This window comes from Homo sapiens, chromosome 6 (assembly GCF_000001405.40).
Source record: "Homo sapiens chromosome 6, GRCh38.p14 Primary Assembly".
NCBI classification, from domain to species: Eukaryota; Metazoa; Chordata; class Mammalia; order Primates; family Hominidae; genus Homo; species Homo sapiens.
In genome coordinates this window covers 42,817,047-42,838,415 of record NC_000006.12, presented here as the reverse complement: position 1 = coordinate 42,838,415, position 21,369 = coordinate 42,817,047, and the positions used below count along the sequence as shown (strand labels likewise).

General features: G+C 43.0%; 1 protein-coding gene across 10 annotated transcripts in view; it reads right to left on the bottom strand.

Moving 5' to 3' along the window:
* Positions 1-21,369, bottom strand: part of BICRAL (BICRA like chromatin remodeling complex associated protein) — a 122,218-nt gene that overhangs the window by 30,141 nt on the left and 70,708 nt on the right. For 9 of the 10 annotated variants that reach the window (XR_007059228.1, XM_047418544.1, XM_047418547.1 and 6 more), the window contains 4 exons: positions 16,353-16,398; positions 15,572-15,620; positions 15,413-15,481; positions 8,244-9,923 (listed from right to left, as the gene is read on the bottom strand). Coding sequence is in view for 9 of the 10 variants with exons in the window: in XM_047418544.1 (XP_047274500.1) it covers positions 8,244-9,923; positions 15,413-15,481; positions 15,572-15,620; positions 16,353-16,398 (1,844 nt within the window). In the remaining variant the exon portion in view is untranslated. Of the gene's footprint in view, positions 1-8,243; positions 9,924-15,412; positions 15,482-15,571; positions 15,621-16,352; positions 16,399-17,202; positions 17,361-21,369 lie in introns of those variants that run through there. The other variant, NM_015349.3, reaches the window with a different exon arrangement.

Here is a 21,369-nt window from a genome sequence, read left to right as displayed (position 1 = left end):
TGGGACAAACCAACATGTGTCTTGCCCAAACCATTTAGCCTGATGAAGCCGAGTCATGAGGAAACATACTTCCAGTCAGACAAGTCCAGTCAGACAAGGCCACTCTAGAAGACAACTGATCAGTGCTGTTACAGACTAAAGAGATGTGACAACTAAATGAAATCAGTGCTCTCTGGATTCTAAAGTGAAAAACTGTTTTTGTAAAGGGCGTTATTAGGCCAAATGGAAGAAATTTGATATAATTATATTAAAAGGTCCTTGTTCCTAGGAGACACCTGCTGAAGTATTTAGGGATAAAAAGTTGTGATGTTTGCAGAGTACTTTCAAATGGTTAAGAGAAAAAAGTATATAAATAAAGTATAAATGTGTGTGTGTACATACACATAGAGACTATAGACATTTAGCACCAATAAAGCAAATACTGCAAAACAGAAATGACTGGTGATACCACGTCAATGTATTCACTGTACTCTTCCAATTTGTCCATGGGTTTGAAAGTTTTCCCAATACAAAAGTGAGGAAGGAACTTAAGCTCACACCATAAAAGCTGGTTTCACTGGTTGCCTGATGGCAACTGGGTGGGTGGGCAACGAGACGAGGAGGGAAACTCTTCATTGTAGTACACATCTTTCTGTACCATTTGATTTTTCTTTTTTTTTTTTTTGAGATGGAGTCTTGCTCTGTCACCCAGGCTGGATTGCAGTGGCGCAATCTCAGCTCACTGCAACCTCCACCTCCCAGGTTCAAGCAATTCTCCTGTCTCAGCCTCCCGAGTAGTTGGGACTACAGGCGCCTGCCACCACATCCGGCTAATTTTTGGATATTTAGTAGAGATGGGGTTTCACCTTGTTGGTCAGGCTGGTCTTGAACTCCTGACCTCAGGTGATCCACCTGCCTCGGCCTCCCAAAGTGCTGCGATTACAGGCGTGAGTCAACATGCCCGGCCCCATTTGATTTTTTGAACCAAGTTAATGTATTATCTATATTAAAAACAATATTATATTTATATTTAAAAACATAGTTATCTCTAACATTAACCATTTATAGTATCAAAACCTGCTGAATTACATTTCTACAAATATACAAACGCCAAAAGCCTTCGGTAATTATATTTTTGTGTTTGTTACAACATTCTATAAAGTAATTTATATAGAAATATTACACAGAAAAACTGAGTGCAGTGGCTTACACCTGTAACCCCAGCACTTTGGGAGGCCGAGGCAGGCAGATCACCTGAGGTCAGGAGTTCGAGACCAGCCTGGCCAAAATGGCAAAACTCTGTCTCTACTAAAAATACAAAAAAATTAGCCAGGCATGGTGGCACACGCCTGTAGTCCCAGCTACTCGGGAGGCTGAGGCAGGAGAATCGCTTGAACCTGGGAGGCGGAGCTTGCAGTGAGCCGAGATAGTGCCATTGCACTCCAGCCTGGGCGGTAGAGTGAGACTCCATCTCAAAAAAAAAAAGAAAAGAAATATTACATAGAAACTACACAGAGGACCAGGCACAGTGTCTCACACCTGTAATCCCAGCACTCTGGGAGGCCGAGGCAGGTGGAGCACTAGGTCAGGAGTTTGAGACCAGCCTGACCAACATGGTGAAATCCCATCTCTACTAAAAATACAAAAATTAGCTGGGTGTGGTGGCAGGCGCCTGTAATCTCAGCTACTCAGGAGCCTGAGGCAAGATAATTGCTTGAACCCAGGAGGCGGAGGTTGCAGTGAGCTGAGATTGTGCCACTGCACTCCAGCCTGGGCAACAGAGCAAGACTCCATCTCAAAAAAAAAAAAAAAAAAAAGAAACTACACAGAAAGCAAATAATTTCTGTGTTTCTGGGTGTCCCGGGAATTTAAATGGTAGCTGACCTAAATACTACTATTTCAACTAATTGTGTACCCAAGGGTATGTTCCTTAATTTTAATAAACCTGGGGTTTCACTTGTTCCTGAAAACTTATAGCGGAAACACACTTGAACACCTGAAATAATGCAACTGACCTAGTTCCCAATGCTTTTTGGCATAAAAAGTCAGCTGCTTTGAAGCTGCTAGTGTAGGCTTCTTTTTACCTTTGAATAACTGAAACTTTTGGGAGTCAGAGAGAAAAAGGTATTTTTCTCCCCCCTCCCTTTGAAGCATTATTTATTATATAGCAAAGAAGAAAAGGAAATGACCATGCTATGGATGATTGCTTAATTAATTATAATAAACATAAAGCTGATCAATACATACATATATAAAATGATCCTCAAGTTCTATCATTAAGTGAAAACGTCTATGGCGTGTTGCAGGTAAGTATGTGTATGCACTGTGCGTGCTTGTCTATGCAGAGGATAGCTCTGGGGGAATACAAAGAACTTACAGTGAGGCTTCTGGAAGGAAACTGGAGGTTGGGGAAAGACTTGTTTTTCACTCTAGACTACTTTGGAACTGTTTTACATTCTTACTAATTAACTGCACATTTTTTGTTTCTTTATGTTTCTTTGTTTTCTGAGACAGGGTCTCGCTCTGTCACCCAGGCTATAGCGCAGTGGTGCCATCACCCTCAGTGCAGCCTTGACGTTCCCGGACTCAGATGGTCCATCTCAGCCTCCCAAGTAGCTGGGACTACAGGTGCACACTACCACACTCACCTAATTTTTGTATTTTTTGTAGAGACAGTGTTTCACCATGTTACCTAGGCTGGTCTGGAGCTCCTGAGCTCAAGCAATCTGCCCCCTTCGCTTGCTGGGAAGTACTGGGATTACAGGCATGAGACACCGCAACCAGCCCCAAGTAACTTTTGAACACAGTATGTTGACTGTAAACACTTAGGCTAAACACAGAACTGTAAACCAATAGTAAAGTCTAATTAATAGTTTTTTTTTTTTTTACAATGGTTTAAAACATGGATTAGCCATTCTAAGACTATTTTCTGTATATTCTAGGATTGAACAAGTAAGTAAATAAACATGGTGGAGCTGGCTTTCTCACTGTTAGAAAAGGGAGTTACAGGCCAGGCATGGTGGCTCATGCCTGAAATCCCAGCACTTTGGGAGGCTGAGGTGGGTGGATCACCAGAGGTCAGGAGTTTGAGACCAGCCTTGCCAACATGGTAAAACCCTGTCTCTACTAAAAATATAAAAATTAGCCAGTTGTGGTGGCGCACGCCTGTAATCCCAGCTACTTGGGAGGCTGAGGCAGGCGAATAGCTTGAACCCGGGAGGCAGAGGTTGCAGTGAGCAGATATCGTGCCATTGCACTCCAGCCTGGGCAGTAGAGTGAGACTCTGACTCAAAAAAAAAAGAAAAAAGGGTAGAGGGGAAGGAAAGGGAGTTACAAATATACAAATATGGAAAAGAGAGAGACTTGGATGAATTCTGTAGTCATGGATTAGAATTGGAACTATCAATATGAACTCACAGCTTTTAATATAGATTCACAGAAATGTAAATACCTATAGGCGTTGGGTGTATAAATATACATATTTTCCAACTGAAATGACCTTAGTAGCAATGAACACACATAATGCTTAGATCTTGGTTTCTAAATATTGTTCTCCACTAGAAGGAACAAGCCTTCTTAAAAAAATAGTTGATGGTAGGGCAGGAGCAGGGAAATTAAAAGATAAACACAGAACATTTGTTTTGCCAGAAATTGAAGGAAGTGCTCAAAGCATGATGGAAACATGTCAGAAGGATGAGCAGCCAATTTGGAGGGGCACCCACTTGCCAAATGTGGGTAGACTTGAGCATTAAAATAAATTATTGTATAATTATTTTATACAATATATTTTATACAATTATAGTCAGTTTATAACCCACTGACTACAAATAATCTAAGAATTCACACATAAAGAAAAAGGTAAAGGGAAGAAAAGGAAAAGCTGTTCCTTAAATTAGAATGCTACTAGTAAGTACAGGACAAATGAAGGAATTAGAAAGTCTCTATTTCGAGGCCATGATAGTAATAGCTCTGTAATAACTGATTCAATCAGGAATCATCAATGGAAACTTAAATTATCATGTGCAAGTTTGATGAGAAACTGGATGCCTACAGAGTTTCAAATTATCTTCTGGAAGATTCTAATTAATGACAAAAGGAAAAACAGTGGAGAAACCTGAAGGACAACATCTTATGCAAGTGTTCAAGGTGAGATCACCAGCAATGGGACAAATTCACATCCTGAGCACTGAGGACACCTCACTTCTGTGGCAATCCTGTTAAAAATGTACTGAATCTAATCATGAGGAAACATCAGAGAAACCCAAATTATAGAAAATAATTGGTTTTGCTGGGCGCCATGGCTCATGCCTATACCAGCACTCCGGGAGGCCGAATCAGGCAGATCACCTGAGGTCGGGAGTTCGAGACCAGCCTGGCCAACATGGAGAAACCACGTCTCTACCAAAAATACAAAATTAGCTGGGCGTGGTGGTACATGCCTGTAATCCCAGCTACTTGGGAGGCTGAGGCAGGAGAATGGCTTGAACCTGCGAGGCAGAGGTTGCAGTGAGCTGAGATTGCACCATTGCACTCCAGCCTGGGCAACAAAGAGCGAAACTCCGTCTCATAATAATAACAATAATAATAATAATTGGTTTGCACTCTTCAAAAATATTAATAGCATGAAAGACAAAGAACGACTGAGGAACTGTTGCAGATTTTAAAATCTGACAATGAAATGAGATAGTGATCCTGGGTGGATCCTGGACCATAAAAACCAAAACAAATTGGGAGGCTGAGGCGGGCAGATCACCTGAGTTCAGGAGTTTGAGACCAGCCTGGCCAACACGGAGAAACCCTGTCTGTACTAAAAATACAAAAATTAGCAGGGTATGGTGGCAGGCAGCTATAATCCTAGCTACTCGGGAGGCTGAGGCAGGAGAATTGCTTGAACCCAGGAGGTGGAGGTTGCAGTGAGCCGAGATCGTACCACTGCACTCTAGCCTGGACAATAGAGTGAGACTCTGTCTCAAAAACAAACAAACAAAAACAAAACAAAACAAAGCTGCATGCCGGGGCATGAGCCTGTAGTTCCAGCTACTCAGGAGGCTGAGGTGGGAGGATTGCTTGAGCTCAAGAGTCTAGCCTGGGCCGGGCGCGGTGGCTCACGCCTGTAATCCCAGCACTTTGGGAGGCTGAAGCAGGTGGATCACGAGGTCAGGAGGTCACCTGGCTAACATGGTGAAACCCCGTCTCTACTAAAAATACAAAAAACTAGCCAGGCATGGTGGCGGGTGCCTGTAGTCCCAGCTACTCGGGAGGCTGAGGCAGGAGAATGGCGTGAACCCGGGAGGCGGAGCTTGCAGTGAGCTGAGATCGGGCTACTGCACTCCAGCCTGGGCAACAGAGCGAGACTCCATCTCAAAAAAAAAAAAAAAGACAGTCTACCCTGGGTAACATAGCAAGATCCCATCTCTAAAGAAAAAACACCAAAACACCAAAACCAAAACCAAATAATTTGTTTTCTCTTGTGCTTTCAGTGACATTTCTGGGAGAACTGACTAAATCTGAGTAAGGTCTGCAGATTAGTTATAGTATTGTAATAATGCTGATTTCTTAATGTTCATTACTGTACTGTGGTTATGTAGGAGAATGCCCCTGCTGTTACAAATACACATTGAGGTAATTAGGAGTCAAGAGGCATAAGCATCAGGTCTGTAATTTACTCTGAAAAGTGTGTGTGTGTATGTTTGTGTGTGTGTGTTTGTATATGAGAGAGAGAGACAAAGGGAGAGAAAAGATTTCGGGAATCTTGGTGAAGGGTATATGACAATTCTTTGTAGTAATCTTGTAACTTTAACTTTTCTGTAAGTCTGATGTTATTTCAAACACACACACACACACACACACACACACACGCCCCTTTGATATCTTTGAAACCAAAACAAATAAACTGAACATCCTTAATCATAAGCAATCTTTGTTTCCCTAGGATTCTTAGTGAAATTAGTAAGTCAAAGGTATATGGTTTAAAAAATTGATATATACATTAATATATATATAAATACATAATATATTATATATATACATATATATGTATATATATATACATACATACATATATATATAATATATATACTTTTTTGAGATGGAGTCTCACTCTGTCTGTTGCCCAGGCAGGAGTGCAGTGGCATGATCTTGGCTCACTGCAACCTCTGCCTCCCAGGTCCAAGTGATTCTCCTGCCTCAGCCTCCTAAGTAGCTGGGACTACAGGCGTGTGTCACCACACCCAGCTAATTTTTGTATTTTTAGTAGAGACAGGGTTTCACCATGTCAGCCAGGCTGGTCTTGAACTCCTGGCCTCAAGCAATCTGCCCACCTTGGCCTCCCAAAGTGCTGGGATTACAGGCATGAACCACAGCTCCTGGCCGATATATATATTTAAAAGATTGATATTGGCTGAGCACAGTGGCGAATGCCTACAATCCCAACACTTTGGGAGGTCGAGGCGGGCAGATCACTGGAGCCCAGGAGTTCGAGACCAGCCTGGGCGACATGGTGAAACCCTGCCTATCAAAAAAATACAAAAATTAGTTGGGCATGGTGGCTTGCACCTGTGTTCCCGGCTACTTGGGAGGCTGAGGTGGAAGGATCACTTGAGGCTGGGAGGCGGAGGCTGCAGTGAGCTGAGATTTCGCCACTGCATGCTAGCCTGGGCAACAGAGTGAGACTGTCTCAAAAAAAAAAAAAGATTTTGAAATATGTTGACGTATATAAACAGAAGTTTTTGAATCCTTCTGAATGTGGAGGAGGAGAAAGGCAGGGGAAACGCAGGACTGAGGGGTCGAAAGTAGGGTATGGCATGGGTCCTCCCAGATGAGAAGAGGAGGAGCTGGAACTATGGAGCATGCTCAGAATGAGTGGGAACCAAATGATGGAGCCGTCGAAGGATCAGCAGATGACAGTGAAGGACTAAAGCTCATGACCATTTGAGATTCTTTTCAGAAACATAATCCTTATGTGGTTTACCAAGTGCCCACAGTAATTAATCTGCATAACAGTATAGTAAGAGCAAGCTCAGGTCAGGTACTTGGTCAAATGAGAGTGCCTCGATCTCTCCCTTTATGTGCTTCCCTCTGGGGCAGGCCAGTTACCCACTACTGAGTCACACTGAGTCCCTGAGCCTTTCCTGTTGGCAACCAAGAAGCAGCTACCACATCTTCAACAAGTCCACAGTCACATGTCCTAATAGCCTGCTATACAATGTAAATACATAACCTAAAATAAGCTTTCATTTTAAATGCCCATAATGAATTTAATTAAGTATAAATACAAGCTCCTATGGAGTATTTGCTATTTGCCAGGGTCTATGTCTAAGTGCTTTGTATAGATTATCTCATTTCACCCTCCTGATAACTCCATGGGATGGCAGTATCATTATCCCCATTTCACTAATGAAGACAATTAAGTCTAGAATGGTAAGTTAACTTTTTCCATGTCATAAAGCTTAGATTCAAACTCAAGAGTCTAACTCCAGAGTCTCCACTCTACAATGCTACACTGGATAAAAAATTTTAAGAAAAAAGGTCGGGTGTGGTGGCCTGTAATCCCAGTACTTTGGGAGGCCAAGGCCAGGGGATTTCTTGAGCCCAGGAGTTCAAGACCAGCCTGGGCAACACGGCGAAACCCCAAATCTACAAAAAATACAAAAAACTAGTTAGGTGTGCTGGTATGTGCTTGTAGTCACAGCTACCTGGGAGGCTGAGGTGGGAAGATCATCTGAGCCCAGTAGGTTGAGGTTGCAGTGAGCTATGATTGCGCCACTGCCCTCCAGCCTAGGCGACAAAGTGAGACCCCCTACCCCTGCCCCCTGGCAAAAAAGAAAATCAAGAAAAAAGATAACCAGTCATAAGTGTAAAAAAAAATTTTTTTTTTTTGAGACAGGGTCTCACTCTATCACCCAGTGCAGTGGTACAATCATGGCTCACTGCAGCCTCAACCTCCCATGCTCAAGCTATTCTCCTGCCTCAGCCTCCAGAGTAGCTGGGACTACAGGTGTGCACCACCACACTCAGCTAATTTTTTAATTTTTGGTAGAGTCAGGGTCTCACTATGTTGCCCAGGCTGGCCTCGAACTCCTGGGTTCAAGTGATCCTCCAGCCTTGGCCTCCCAAAGTGTTGGGATTACAGGCATGAGCCACTACACCTGGCCTAAAATTTTTAAGAAATTGGATGCCTAGGATGAAAATTATATTCTAGTAAATACACATCTCATTTTTCCATTCTATAATCAGCCAAATATTTATTTGGGAAAGGGCATTACCTGGCAGAAGAATTGTTGCTGGGTTCCTGTTCCAGGTGTGTTACTGAAGGTGCTGGTAGACTTGGAAGAAGAAACTGGAAGACGATGAGACACACTGACTGGTACTGGAGTCCTGTTTGGCTGGGTCAGCTGATCTCCTGTAAAGTTTGATCCTGATGAACCAGACTGAACTGCAGACCCAAGACTAGGATGGGCAGTGCTGGCTGAGCTGACAGCAGGGAACCGACTAGGTCCTGACATGCTTGTCACCGATGGCATGGTGGCGAAGCCAGGTCTTCCTTGGGAAACGCTGCTCTGCCCAGGTGACAGGTGTAATACAGTTGGGGATGCCTGCTGCAAGGGCATCTGTCCACCCACAAGCTGAGGAGAGGCATGATTGGCTATCACTGGACTTCCAGAGGCAGCAAATGTCTGCCCAGACACTAAGTGGACAGCAGTATTCTGGTTGTTAAGCATCGGTCCAGTATATGGTTGGTTGGTCCTGAGCATGTTGGAAGAGTTTCTGTTCAACATGACATGCTCTGAGGCCACTTGGCCAGAAATGAGCTGAGAGGGTTGAGTTTGAAGAAGTTGCCCATTTATAGTCTGGACGTGGTGTACCGAGTTGGAACTGACAGAAAGGCTTGTAGGTATAAGGAACTGACTTTGGGGTGCGTGAGGTTGGCCCATGGGGGAATGAATAACAATACTGCCCCCAGTGCTGCTCACTGCCTGTGAGGTGACTGGCTTTCTTGTGTTCTGTTGGTTTACAATGTTCACAGACATGTGTGGACCAACTACTGAGCCCTGGGGTGAGCTTGCAGAAGCAAAAGAGATCCCTTGTTGTACGTGGTGCTGCTGAATTCCCAAATTGTTCACATTGTATGTATTTTGCTGACCCATCTGGATAGGCTTTGGCTGTATATTAATTGGGACTTTATTTGAATTTGGTGCAAGACCCCTTTGTATGATGATGTTATGCACAGGTAAAGATGTTTGAAAATTTGTGCTGTTAAATGGAACGGTAACAGGCTGTGCTACTGGACTGGAACTAGAGTTCCCAAACAAGGAGTTGCCATTAGGAGTCTGTCTATGAACCAGGAGCCCTCCACTCACATTTGATGGGGCTTGCTGCCCGCTGCCCTTTAATATGATTTGAGATCCATCTAGGTTATTAATAGTCATCATGGAAGGATGATTACCAAATGACCCAATTAACTGTATTTGACCAGAACCACTAATCTGACTGCTATTAGACAAATGCTGGCTGGGAACACTGATCCCCACATGTTGCATAAAGCCATGTTGTACACCCACTGTATTGCTTGCAAACGATGCTCCAACAGGCACATGCGTCACCCCTATAGGCTGCAGCGTCTGACCTGAGTAATTAGAAACATTAGAAGCCTGAGTAAAGGATGCTGATGAAGAAGGATGAAGCTGAGCTTGTGCAAACTGTTGGCTTGAACCTATACTGGCATCCAAATATGCCTCTTCTGCCAATGTCTGTTCAGTGATATTGGCCTCTTGCAAGGATTTCTGAAGAATGTCGAAAGGTTGGTCCTCAGTGAGATCAGGAAGAGGAGAAGACTCGAGTTCATCTTCAAGAAACTGGAGGCTACTTGAAAGTGGCAGTCCATCACTGGGCCCTTCTCCAAGCTGGTTGCTTACACCTTTGAGGGATGACTTAGGATCAGCATTCTAAAAAAATAAACAGTATGTTACATGGCATATGTAACCTTTGAAAAGGATGCATAAAAATTAATCTTACTTTTACTTTTTTTTTTTTTTTTGAGATGGAGTCTCGCTCTGTCACCCAGGCTGGAGTGCAGTGGCGTGATCTCGGCTCACTGCAAGCTCCGCCTCCCGGGTTCACGCCATTCTCCTGCCTCAGCCTCCCCAGTAGCTGGGACTACAGGCGCCTGCCACCGCGCCCAGCTAATTTTTTGTATTTTTAGTAGAGATGGGGTTTCACCATGGTCTCAATCTCCTGACCTCATGATCTGCCCGCCTCGGCCTCCCAAAGTGCTGGGATTACAGGAGTGAGCCACCGCGCCTGGCCAATCTTACTTTTGAATATGAATAAAGCATGACAGTCTGCTTCTCAGGCATAACTCTCTAAACTGCTCACCTTATTCTGATATTTTATTTCCATCATAATGATGCTTGACATTATAAGTATATGCATCCATCATGCTGATAAATTATTTTATAGAGAACAGATAATGCGAACATACTGAGGACTACTTGGAGCTTAGCTTCATTTTTTTGAGATACTGCCACAGACTTTATTTACTTTTTAATTTTTTGATCTGGGGTCTCGATCTTTTGCCCAGGCTGGAGTGCAGTGGCCCAATAATAACTCACTGCTGCTGTGAACTCCTGGGTTCATGAGATCCTCCCATCTCGGCCTCCTGAGTAGGTGGGACTACAGGTGTGCCCCACCACACCGAGTTAAATTTTTTTGTTTTTGGTTTTTAGAGATGGGGTTTCACCATCTTGCCCAGGCTGGTCTTGAACTCCTGCACGCAAGTAATCCTCCTGCTTTGGCCTCCCAAAGTGCTAGGATTACAGGCGTGAGGCACCGTCCCCAGCCTCAGAGTATTTTCGAGATTGCTACTACACCGACATGATGCAAAAATAGTTGCCAATAAATACATATTGAATGAAGCAATTTGAAAAGATAGAATTAATACTCACATGGAAATAGGACAGTTGCTAAATAAAAATCATTAATGTTGAGGGATAGGCCAAGTATCTACTTTCTGGGTTTAATGGCATCATATGTAGTGATTATTTGTTCAAAATGAATGTCAGAAATGCTACTGATTCACAAGCCTTACCAGAGATCAGTGTTGTGGCAGAGATATCCTGCATGATATGATCTTACGTGCCTTACACACACGTGACTATTAAAAAGAACTGTCCATCCCAAGGACTTTCTGAACACCATTCCATTTTATAGGTGAAGAAAATATAGGTCCTGATGATAGTAAGTTAATATTTACTGAGCACCATACCAAGTGAGTTCAACAGTATAGTCAACTAATGTTAACCACCCTCTGAGGTAATTCCATTGTTATTCTGGTTTCATAAATGAGGAAATTGGCCAGGCGCGGTGGCTCACACCTATTAATCCCAGCACTTTGGGAGGCTGAGGCGGGCGGATCACCTGAGGTTGGGAGTTTGAGACCAGCCTGACCAACATGGAGAAACCCTGTCTCTACTAAAAATACAAAATTAGCTGGGGGTGGTGGCGCATGCCTGTAATCCCAGCTACTAAGGAGGCTGAGGGAGGAGAATCACTTGAATCTGGGAGGCAGAGGTTGCGGTGAGCCAAGATTGTGCCATTGCACTCCAGCCTGGGCAACAAGAGCGAAACTTTGTCTCAAAAAAAAAACAAACAAACAAGAGGAAATTGACCCTCACAGAGATTTAGTGATATATCTAAGGTTACATGGCTAATAAGTGGTAGGGCAAGGAGTCAACCTTGGGCAGTACAACTTCTGACTACCATCCACAGCACAACAAAGCAACTGAAAAGAGTAAGGGAACCTAAGGCTCAAACACAGTAATCTCGATATAGTCTCCAGGCAGGACACTCCAATCCCCCAGGTCAGGTTTGTTGCCTAGATGCCCCTGGAGGTTAAGAACATGGAGGCTGGGCACAGTTGCTCACTCCTGTAATCCAAGCACTTTGGGAGGCCGAGGCGGGTGGATCACCTGAGGTCCGGAGTTCAAGACCAGCCTGGCCAACTGGGTGAAACCTCGTTTCTACTAAAAATACAAAAATTAGCCGGGCACGGTGACACACGCCTGTAATACCAGCTACTCAGGAGACTGAGGCAGGAGAATTGCTGGAACCCAGGAGGTGGAGGTTGCAGTGAGCCGAGATTGCACCACTGCACTTCAGCCTGGGCAACAGAGCGAGACTCTTGTCTCAAAAAAAAAAAAAAAAAAAAGAACATGAGTTTCCAGAGCCTGGTGGCCTGGGTTAGAATCCTAGCTCTGCAACTCATGGCTGTGTACTATTTGGCCAAGTAACTTAACCTTTCTGTGCTTTAGTTTCCTCATCTCTAAAATATGTATCTTTTTTTCTTTTTTCCCCTGAGACAAGAGTCTCACTGTGTCACCCATGCTGGAGTGCAGTGGCCCGATCTCGACTCACTGCAACTTCCGCCTTCCTGGTTCAAGCAATTCTCCCTGCCTCAGCCACCCAAGTAGCTGGGATTACAGGTGCCCACCACCACGCCCAGCTAATTTTTATATTTTTTAGTAGAGATAGGGTTTTGCCATGTTGGCCAGGCTGGTCTTGAACTCCTCACCTCAGGTGATCCACCTACTTCGGCCTCTCACAAGTGTTGGTGTGAGCCACCGTGCCTGGCCAAAATATGTATCTTAATAGAACCACTTCATGGAATCATTGTGAAGATTAAATGAGGTTAATACATGTCTTGGGTTTCTTTTTTTTGAGATAGGGTCTCACTCTGTCACCTAGGCTGGAGTGCAGTGGCACAATCTTGGCTCACTGCAGCCTCCAACTCCTGGGCTCAAGGGATCCTGCCTCAGCAGGACTGGGACTATAGGCACGCACCACCATGCTCATCTATTTTTTCTTTTTTTTTTTTTGAGACCGAGTCTTGCTCTGTCGCCCGGGCTGAAGTGCAGTGGCGCAATCTCAGCTCACTGCAAGCTCCACCTCCCGGGTTCAAGCCATTCTCCTGCCTCAGCCTCCCAAGTAGCTGGGACTACAGGCAGCCGCCACAACGCCCGGCTAATTTTTTTGTATTTTTAGTAGAGACAGGGTTTCACCGTGTTAGCCAGGATGGTTTTGATCTCCTGACCTCATGATCCGCCCACCTCGGCCTCCCAAAGTGCTGGGATTACAGGCGTGAGCCACCGCGCCCAGCCAATTTTTTTTTTTTTTTTTTTTTGAGACAGAGTCTTGCACTGTCGCCCAGGCTGGAGTGCAGTGGCGTGATCTTGGCTCACTGTAACCTCCACCTCCCAGGTTCAAGCAATTCTCCTGCCTCAGTCTCCTGAGTAGCTGGGATTACAGGCACACGCCACTACGCCCGGCTAATTTTTTGCATTTTTAGTAGAGATGGGGTTTCACTATGTTGGCCAGGCTGGTCTCGAACTCCTGACCTCGTGGTCTGCCTGCCTCGGCCTCCCAAAGTGTTGGGATTAGAGGCGTAAGCCACTGCGCCCAGCTGCTGGTCTAATTTTTAAATTTTTTGTAGAGATGGGGTCTCACTATGCTGGTTGGTCTCAAACTCCTGAGCTCAAGTAATCCTCCTGCCTTGGCCTCCTAAAATGGTGGGATTATAGGCATGGGCCACCATGTCTGGCTGAGGTTAATATATGTTAAGCTCTTAATGCCAAGCACATACTAAATGCTCAAGTGTTACTCATTATCTTTGTTTTTCTCATTTAAGATGAAAACAACTTATAAGTAACTATGAATTAAGAATAATTTCTTTAAAGATTATTATGTAACAAGGTTCAAAACATTCTAATATGAGTTTCTCAGGTTGTAACATTTCTGAGTCATTTTAGAAAGAATGTTGAGGCCAGGTGCAGTGGCTCACGCCTGTAATGGGGCGGGGATCACTTGAGATCAGGAGTTCAAGATCATCCAGGCCAACATGGAGAAACGCAGTCTCTACTAAAAATACAAAAATTAGCTGGTGTGGTGGTGGGTACCTGTAATCCCAGCTACTAGGGAAGCTGAGGCAGGAGAATTGCTTGAACCCAGGAGGCAGAGGCTGCAGTGAGACGAGATCGTGCCACTGCACTCCAGCCTGGGCAACAGAGCAAGATTCCGTCTCAAAAAAAGAAAGTTGAAAGCTTAGAAAAATGGCAAAGTGGATATATAACTTGTCTTTTTATTATTTAAAAGACAACCTCATATAGTTTGTCTTTTTATTATTTATTATTTATTTTTATTTTTTTTATTTTTTTGAGACAGAGTCTCCCTATGTGGCCAGGCTGGAGTGTAATGGTGCGATCTTGGCTCACTGCAACCTCCAACTCCCTGGTTCAAGCGATTCTCCTGCCTCAGCCTCCTGAGTAGCTGGGATTACAGGCACGCGCCACCACACCAATTTCTGTGTTTTTAGTAGAGACGGGGTTTCACCGTGTTGGCCCGGATGGTCTCGATCTCCTGACTTCATGATCTGCCTGCCTCGGCCTCCCAAAGTGCTGGGATTACAGGTGTGAGCCACCATGCCTGGTGTATTATTTTATTTATTTATTTATTTATTGTTTGAGATGGAGTTTCGCTCTGTCGCCCAGGCTGGAATGCAGTGGCGGGATCTCGGCTCACTGCATCCTTTGCCTCCTGGGTTTATGCAATTCTCTGCCACAGGCTCCCGAGTAGCTGGGATTACAGGCGCCTACCACCATGCCTGGCAATTTTTTTTTGTATTTTTAGTAGAGATGGGGTTTTACCATCTTGGCCAGGCTGATCTTTAACTCCTGACCTCGTGATCCACCTGCCTCGGCCTCCCAAAGTGTTGGGATTACAGGCATGAGCCACCACATCTGGTCTATTTTATTTTTTAAAAATAGAGACAGGGTCTTGCTATGTTGCCCAGGCTGGTCTTGAACTCCTGAGCTCAAATGATTCTCCCACTTTGGCCTCCCAAAGTGCTGAGATTACAGGTGTGAGCTACTGTACCTGGCCACATAGCTTGTCTTAATTGACTAAGTTAAAAGTAGAAAATGTCTACATAATTCAATAGATTTTCTTCCTATATAAATTACAACAGGCTGGGCACAGTGGCTCATACCTGTAATTCCAACATTTTGGGAGGCCAAGGTAGGTGTATTGCTTGAGCCTGAGAGTTCAAGACCAGCCGGGCTAACATGGCGAAACTCTGTCTCTATTAAAAATACAAAAATTAGCCCGTGTGGCATGCGCCTGTAGTCCCAGCTATTCGGGAGGCTGAGGTGGGAGGATCGCTTCAGCCTGGGAGGTCAAGGCTGCAGTGAGCTGTGATCGCACCACTGCACTCCAGTCTGGGCGACAGAGTGAGGCCCCATCTCAAAATAAATAAATAAAATTAAATTAATTACAACAGACAAGGTAAGGATTCTCATGATACAAAGGCAGTTAAAGGCTCAGTTCACAAGGCATCAATCAGACAGAAACCATTCAATCATTGCATTTAGTTTCCAATACTCACACTAGAGTTGGCGAAAATTGAATTTGAATTGGCTGCAGAATATCCTGCATTAGTCAAGTCATCATTGCTCTGCAAAGATACAAATTCAATAGGTGGTTACTACTTTAACTGTAAAGCAGAAACAAAATAGATGTCTGTGGTATTCTATGCATTACTTACAGATTTATTACTAGGTCCATGTAGAAAATAGTTCAATGCTTGTGGGTCTCTAGAAAAGAGAGGAAAAAAAGAGATAAAACAACAAACAAATATACTATCTATATTTAGAACTAATTTTTACTAGAGTAGAAAGAAAATGATTTATTACCTGAGTAAAATCCTCTCCCTATTTTAAAACTATTAGTAGGTTTTTTTTTTTTTAATCTTGTTTTTGTTTTGATGTTGTGCCATTTCCTATTATTATTCACTTCTGCCTCCTGGGATTTATTAGGAAATAAATTTAATAAATAATTACTTGCTGAGCACAGTGGCTCATGCCTGTAATCCCAGCACTTTGGGAGGCTGAGGCAGGAGGATCACTTCAGTCTAGGAGTTGGAGACCAGCTTGTACAACATGGCAAAACCCTGTCTCTACAAAAAAAAAAAAACACAAAAAATTAGCCAGGCATGGTGGTGTGTGACTGTAGTCCCCGCTACTTGGGAGGCTGAGGTGGGAGGATCGTGTGGGCCTGGGAGGTGGAGGCTACAGTGAGCTGAGATTGTGCTGCTGCACTTTAGCCTGGGTGACAGAGTGAGACCCTGTCTCAAAAGGAAAAAAAAAAAAAGAATTACTGAATTACAACCCCTATGTTAATCATGTCTCTGTTTCTCTACTAAACCTATGATTATTATTTAATTTTTATTTAAAATACCTATCAGGTGTTATATGCTATTAGGTTGTCTTAGTGTTCAGCAAACCTCACACATTTGATTTACCCAGGTTTTGGAATAAGCATCTTACCCAATAAGATCAAGGAGACACGAGTCATCATCATCATCCATGACAACTATAAAGAAAAGGGAGAGGAAAACAGGTTTCAGTAAAGCAGATTAAAGACAGTAGTATCAATGCAATACAAAAGTATGCCTTACACTTTTCTGGATAAATAACTGTAATTCACGTGAGTTTTCCTCTGCTTAATATTAATGTAATTTTAAAAATTTTGAGGTCATTTGAGAGATAAAGTATTCAATTTAAACTTTTTATTGAAAACAAACCTTTAACTTATAAGTCAAAAAAGAATCTAGACAAATCAAAGATAGTTGGCAGCAACCTCCCTCACATGCAGATTCCCCCAAGGGGCTATAAACCATGAACAGTAACTTCCTCAAAATGTACAATAAACAAGGGGAGAAATAATATTTATGTTTTAGAAAAGATCTCATAGACATAGAGGTCTTTTAATTTTGTGACTCAATGTTCCTAAACATGGTGAGCAACCTACATTTTTTGCCATATTCTGGCTATCTTTAGGAAGATAGGAAAATGGTTCTTCCTGCATTTAGAGAGAGAAGAGGGGGCACCCTAGCCGCAGGCAGTCTCTGCAGGCTCTGGCCGGCCGGTCCCACATTCTCCTTTTGCAGCAGCACCACCCCTGTTCAACTCCAAACAATCTACATCCTAACACTAGAATCCTTAAAGTAGAGAATCTCAACCAAAAAAGTTCACCCTAGCTCCAGGCCCCGAGATCCCTCTCTCCCCCACCAGCGACAGTGTCAAGCTTAGCCAGTGAAATGACTATGCTTGGGCTGAAACAACAACAACTGCACAGATTCCAAGAGCAGCTCTCCCCACAGACTGGGAAACTTACACTAGTGATCCGACACCTGGCACACAGCTTCACACCCTTTTGAGCCATGTGTGGAATAATTTACATCACGGAATGCCAGGGCCAAGAGTTCTGGAGCAGTTGGAAAGGGCAGTTGTGAACGGCAGTTGGACGTAGGAATGAAATCCTGAAAAGATGCCCAGAAGAGGGACACGCCCGAAGGCAGAAGGGACAGTCTCTACTAAATGTTTTTCCTCTGTTAAAACTGCATCTCTTCTCCAGTTCCCTCAGACTTCCCACTCTAACAGTCACAAGGCCAAACTAGTATAAAATGTACTCCTGCTACATGGAAGGTAACTTGCTTTCCTCAGGAAGAGTCTGGAAGGGGTAAGTACCCCCACTGGGATCTGCCAGTGATCTTCCCCTTGGCGGCTGAATTCATTCAGATGCTGAATGATCTGGGAGATTACAAACCCTGTGAGTAGAATCCAGTGGAGAGGAGAAATGATGGTTGAGAAAGGAGGAAGAAGCAGTGGGAAAAGATACCAAAAGGTGACTCCCAAGGCTGAAACTGACAAGGGCAGCTGGCTAAGTGAAATCTGCTTTTTAGAACTCAACTTGGAGTCACTCATGGGCACACTCACATGACTATACTAGTGTAACATGACTGTGGAGGAGTGAAGATGGGACAGAAAGGAAAAGCAGGAAAATGATCATCACGTAGATACAGAAAAATCTGTGTGAAGGTCTTCCCTTAAATCCTGACGACATTTAGTGAGATAAAATTGTATTAACCATGGCTCATCAGCATACCATAGGCTTGTCTCTCAGGCATCATAATCATATGGAAAAAATTAGCCAATTATGACATACATTAAGCCTATAAAGGAGATATTACTTTTTTAACATGACCGCTTAAATTGAATTCCCCTGTATCCTTTGTGAATTCATTTTTTTTAAGTGTCCGTCTCTGGAACAAACTAATTAATAAAAATGTAAGTGAAAAATAGCCTATACCAAAGAAAAACACTTCCACAACTCTCCCAGCTTCCCTCCTTACTTGACACACTTGCCTAGTTCCTCTACTTGATGAGGTGCCCTAAGGGTTAAACAAGCCCTGAGGCAGGAAGTCAACACCAGTCACTCCATTGAGGTGTTACTACCACTAGCACTTTCAAGCACAGAGAACAGCTGCTACCCCTAAGTTTAGAGTGACAAACTACTTGAGTAGTGCAAACAGAACACTTTTATAATATTGAATGAGATTAAAAGCCATTGTGCAACCTTCTCTACCAAACAAAACAGGGAGTCAAACACTTGGCTTGAAAGAAGGCTCCCTGGGAATATCTACCCCCTATCAGCAGCATCAGGAACTGCCAGACAGGCCTTCTCCTCTGGTCCCAGTAGGTACAACTCTAGGAGCCTTTACAGTCAGGGGCACCCTGAGAATTCTGCTTTTTAAAGGGTCACACTCTTTTCTCACCTTAAACAGTTTCAAATTAAAAGAGATGACCCTTAGCCCTGTATTCTCTAGCTTCAAATAATGCCAAAATGTAGTCATAATATAGCCTAATCCAGGGGTTCCTTTCACCAGATGACCTATGGTCCATCAAAGTAAATTTACCAGAGCAAAATTGTAAAATTGTCTATGATTTTAAAATGAGAAGATAGGCCGGGCATGGTGGCACATGCCTGTAATCCCAGCACTTTGGGAGGCCGAGGTGGGTGGATCACCTGAGGTCAGGAGTTCGAGATCAGCCTGGCCAACACGGTGAAACCCGTCTCTACTAAAAATACAAAAAATTAGCCAGGCATGGTGGCACTTGCCTGTAGTCCCAGCTACTCGGGAGGCTAAGGCAGGAGAATTGCTTGAACCTGGGAGGCAGAGGTTGCAGTGAGCCGAGATCATGCCACTGCACTCCAGCCTGGGTGACAGAGAGAGATTCTGTCTCAAAAAATAAAATTAAAAATAAAAATAAAAATAAATAAAACGAGAAGATAATCTGAAGATCAGTCACTAATGACCTAAAAGTGAAGAATTCTGTTTTCTCTGGAAAGATTCTCCATTTACTTCTGGACTCCTGTTGAGGCTCTTTTCACATTCAAGTAACAACCCTGGAATCCCTAGATGGGTGGCTGACCCCAGGTGGATTTTATGAGGCTAAGGGGAAATCCCTGGATGAGTGATTGGAAACTATTTCTTGGCCCAACAGACATGAGCAAGACGTCTTCCCCTCTGTAAATAGCACTAGACAGTGGGATTTGTCGTGGAGGGAAGGGGGCTGTAGGCACCCCAAGAGTTCAGAAATCACTGTCCTGAACACCTGACTACCTCTCTTAAAAAATTAAAGCTAATATTTAAAACTGTTCTGAATTGCACCAACAAACATCTTAAATAATAGCTTTTAATCAAGAGGACACAGTGTAAAAATGACGTTTCAAAGCGGTGGGGAAAAGTTGTTAACCATATGGGGAAAATAAGGTAGATTCACACCTCATATCTTACACAAAAATAAATTCTAGATGGATCTAGGAGTTAAATGGTGGATGGAGAAAGAACCTTAAAGTAATAGAATAACTCATGGGAGAATTTTTTTTTTTTTAACAATCTTGGAGTGAGGAAAGTCTAAGGATGTCATAAGACACACAAGTCATAAAAGACTGACAAAGTCAACGACATAAAGTGCAAAGCTTCTGCATGATAAAAGAAAAACACATCATAAGCAAAGTCAAAGACTAAAACAAATAAACAAAAATAACTAAGAAAAATACCTCCACTTCATACCCCAGAAGGCTTTTCTCCCTAATACACAAAGAGCTCCTATAAATAAGGAAAATTTTTTATCAGGGCTTTTCTCCCTAATACATAAAGAGCTCTTATAAATAAGGAAAATTTTTTTATCAGGATCCATCCAGAATATCAAAGATTTAATCAGTTTATGAGCAATCAATTCACAGAAAAGGAAATACAACTAGCTCCTAAGCATATAAAATAATCAACCTTACTTACAATAAGGGAAATAAAAATTAATATTGTAGTGAGATACTACATGTCCTGTCAGATTGGCAAAGACAGAAAAGTTGGATGAAGGATTCTGCTAGCAGGGAGTGGGGAAATAGGAACTTTTATACACTGACAGGATACAGACTCATATAACCTCTAGTGAGGGCAATTTAGCAATGTCTTTCAAAATCTTAAGTGCACAGATCAGCTTACCAAGCAAATCCATTTCCAGGTATTTGTACTGCAGATATTCTTTTTTACTCACTTTTTTTTTTTTTTTTTTTAGAGATAGGGTCTCTCTATGTTGCCCAGGCTGGACTTGAATTTCTGGGCTCAAGAGATCCTTAACCCCCTAAGTAGCTGGGCCTACAGGTATGTGCCACCATAACCAGCTGTCACGTGGGTATTCTTTCACATGTGCCAAATGATATGTGTATAAGAATATCCAGGGCAGTATTATTATTATTTTAGTATTAATTGGTTTTAACAAAGGACGGCAAAACCCTAGATGTCATGGGTATGGGGTTTCTTTCTGGGGCAATAAAAATGTTCTTGAACCTGCTTGGCAATGTAGTGAGACCCAATCTCTACAAAACATTTAAAAATTAGTTGAGTGTGCTGATGCACACCTGTAGTTCCAGCTACTTGGGAGGCTGAGATGGGAGGATTGTTTGCTTGAGCGTAGGAGGTCAAGGCTGCAGTGAGCTATGATTACACCACTGCACTCCAGCCAAAGCGACAGAGCCAGACTCTGCCTCTTAAAAAAAAAAAAAAGAGTTCTTGTATTAAACTACTGAATTATATACTTTAAAAGGGTGAGTTTTATGGTATGTAAATTATATCTTAATTTAAAAAACTCTCTTAAAAACCCTAAATGTCCATGATTAAATGTCCTGGTTAAATCAATTATGGTTTACCTACATAGTGGAGTACTCTGCAGTCATTAAAACTAATGAGGCAGTTTTAATCATACTAACTTGGTAGGATATATGGTCAATTAAAAAAGAAAGGTGCAGAATATTATGTACATTATGTTCCCAAATGTGTGTGTGGGGGAAATACACACACACACATATATACACACACACACACACACACACACATATAAATGATGTGTGTGTGTAAATGTATAGAACCTAAAATGAAGCACAGGTAACCAGTAACACTAGTTGCTTCTGGGAAGAAAACAGGGTGACTGGGGAACA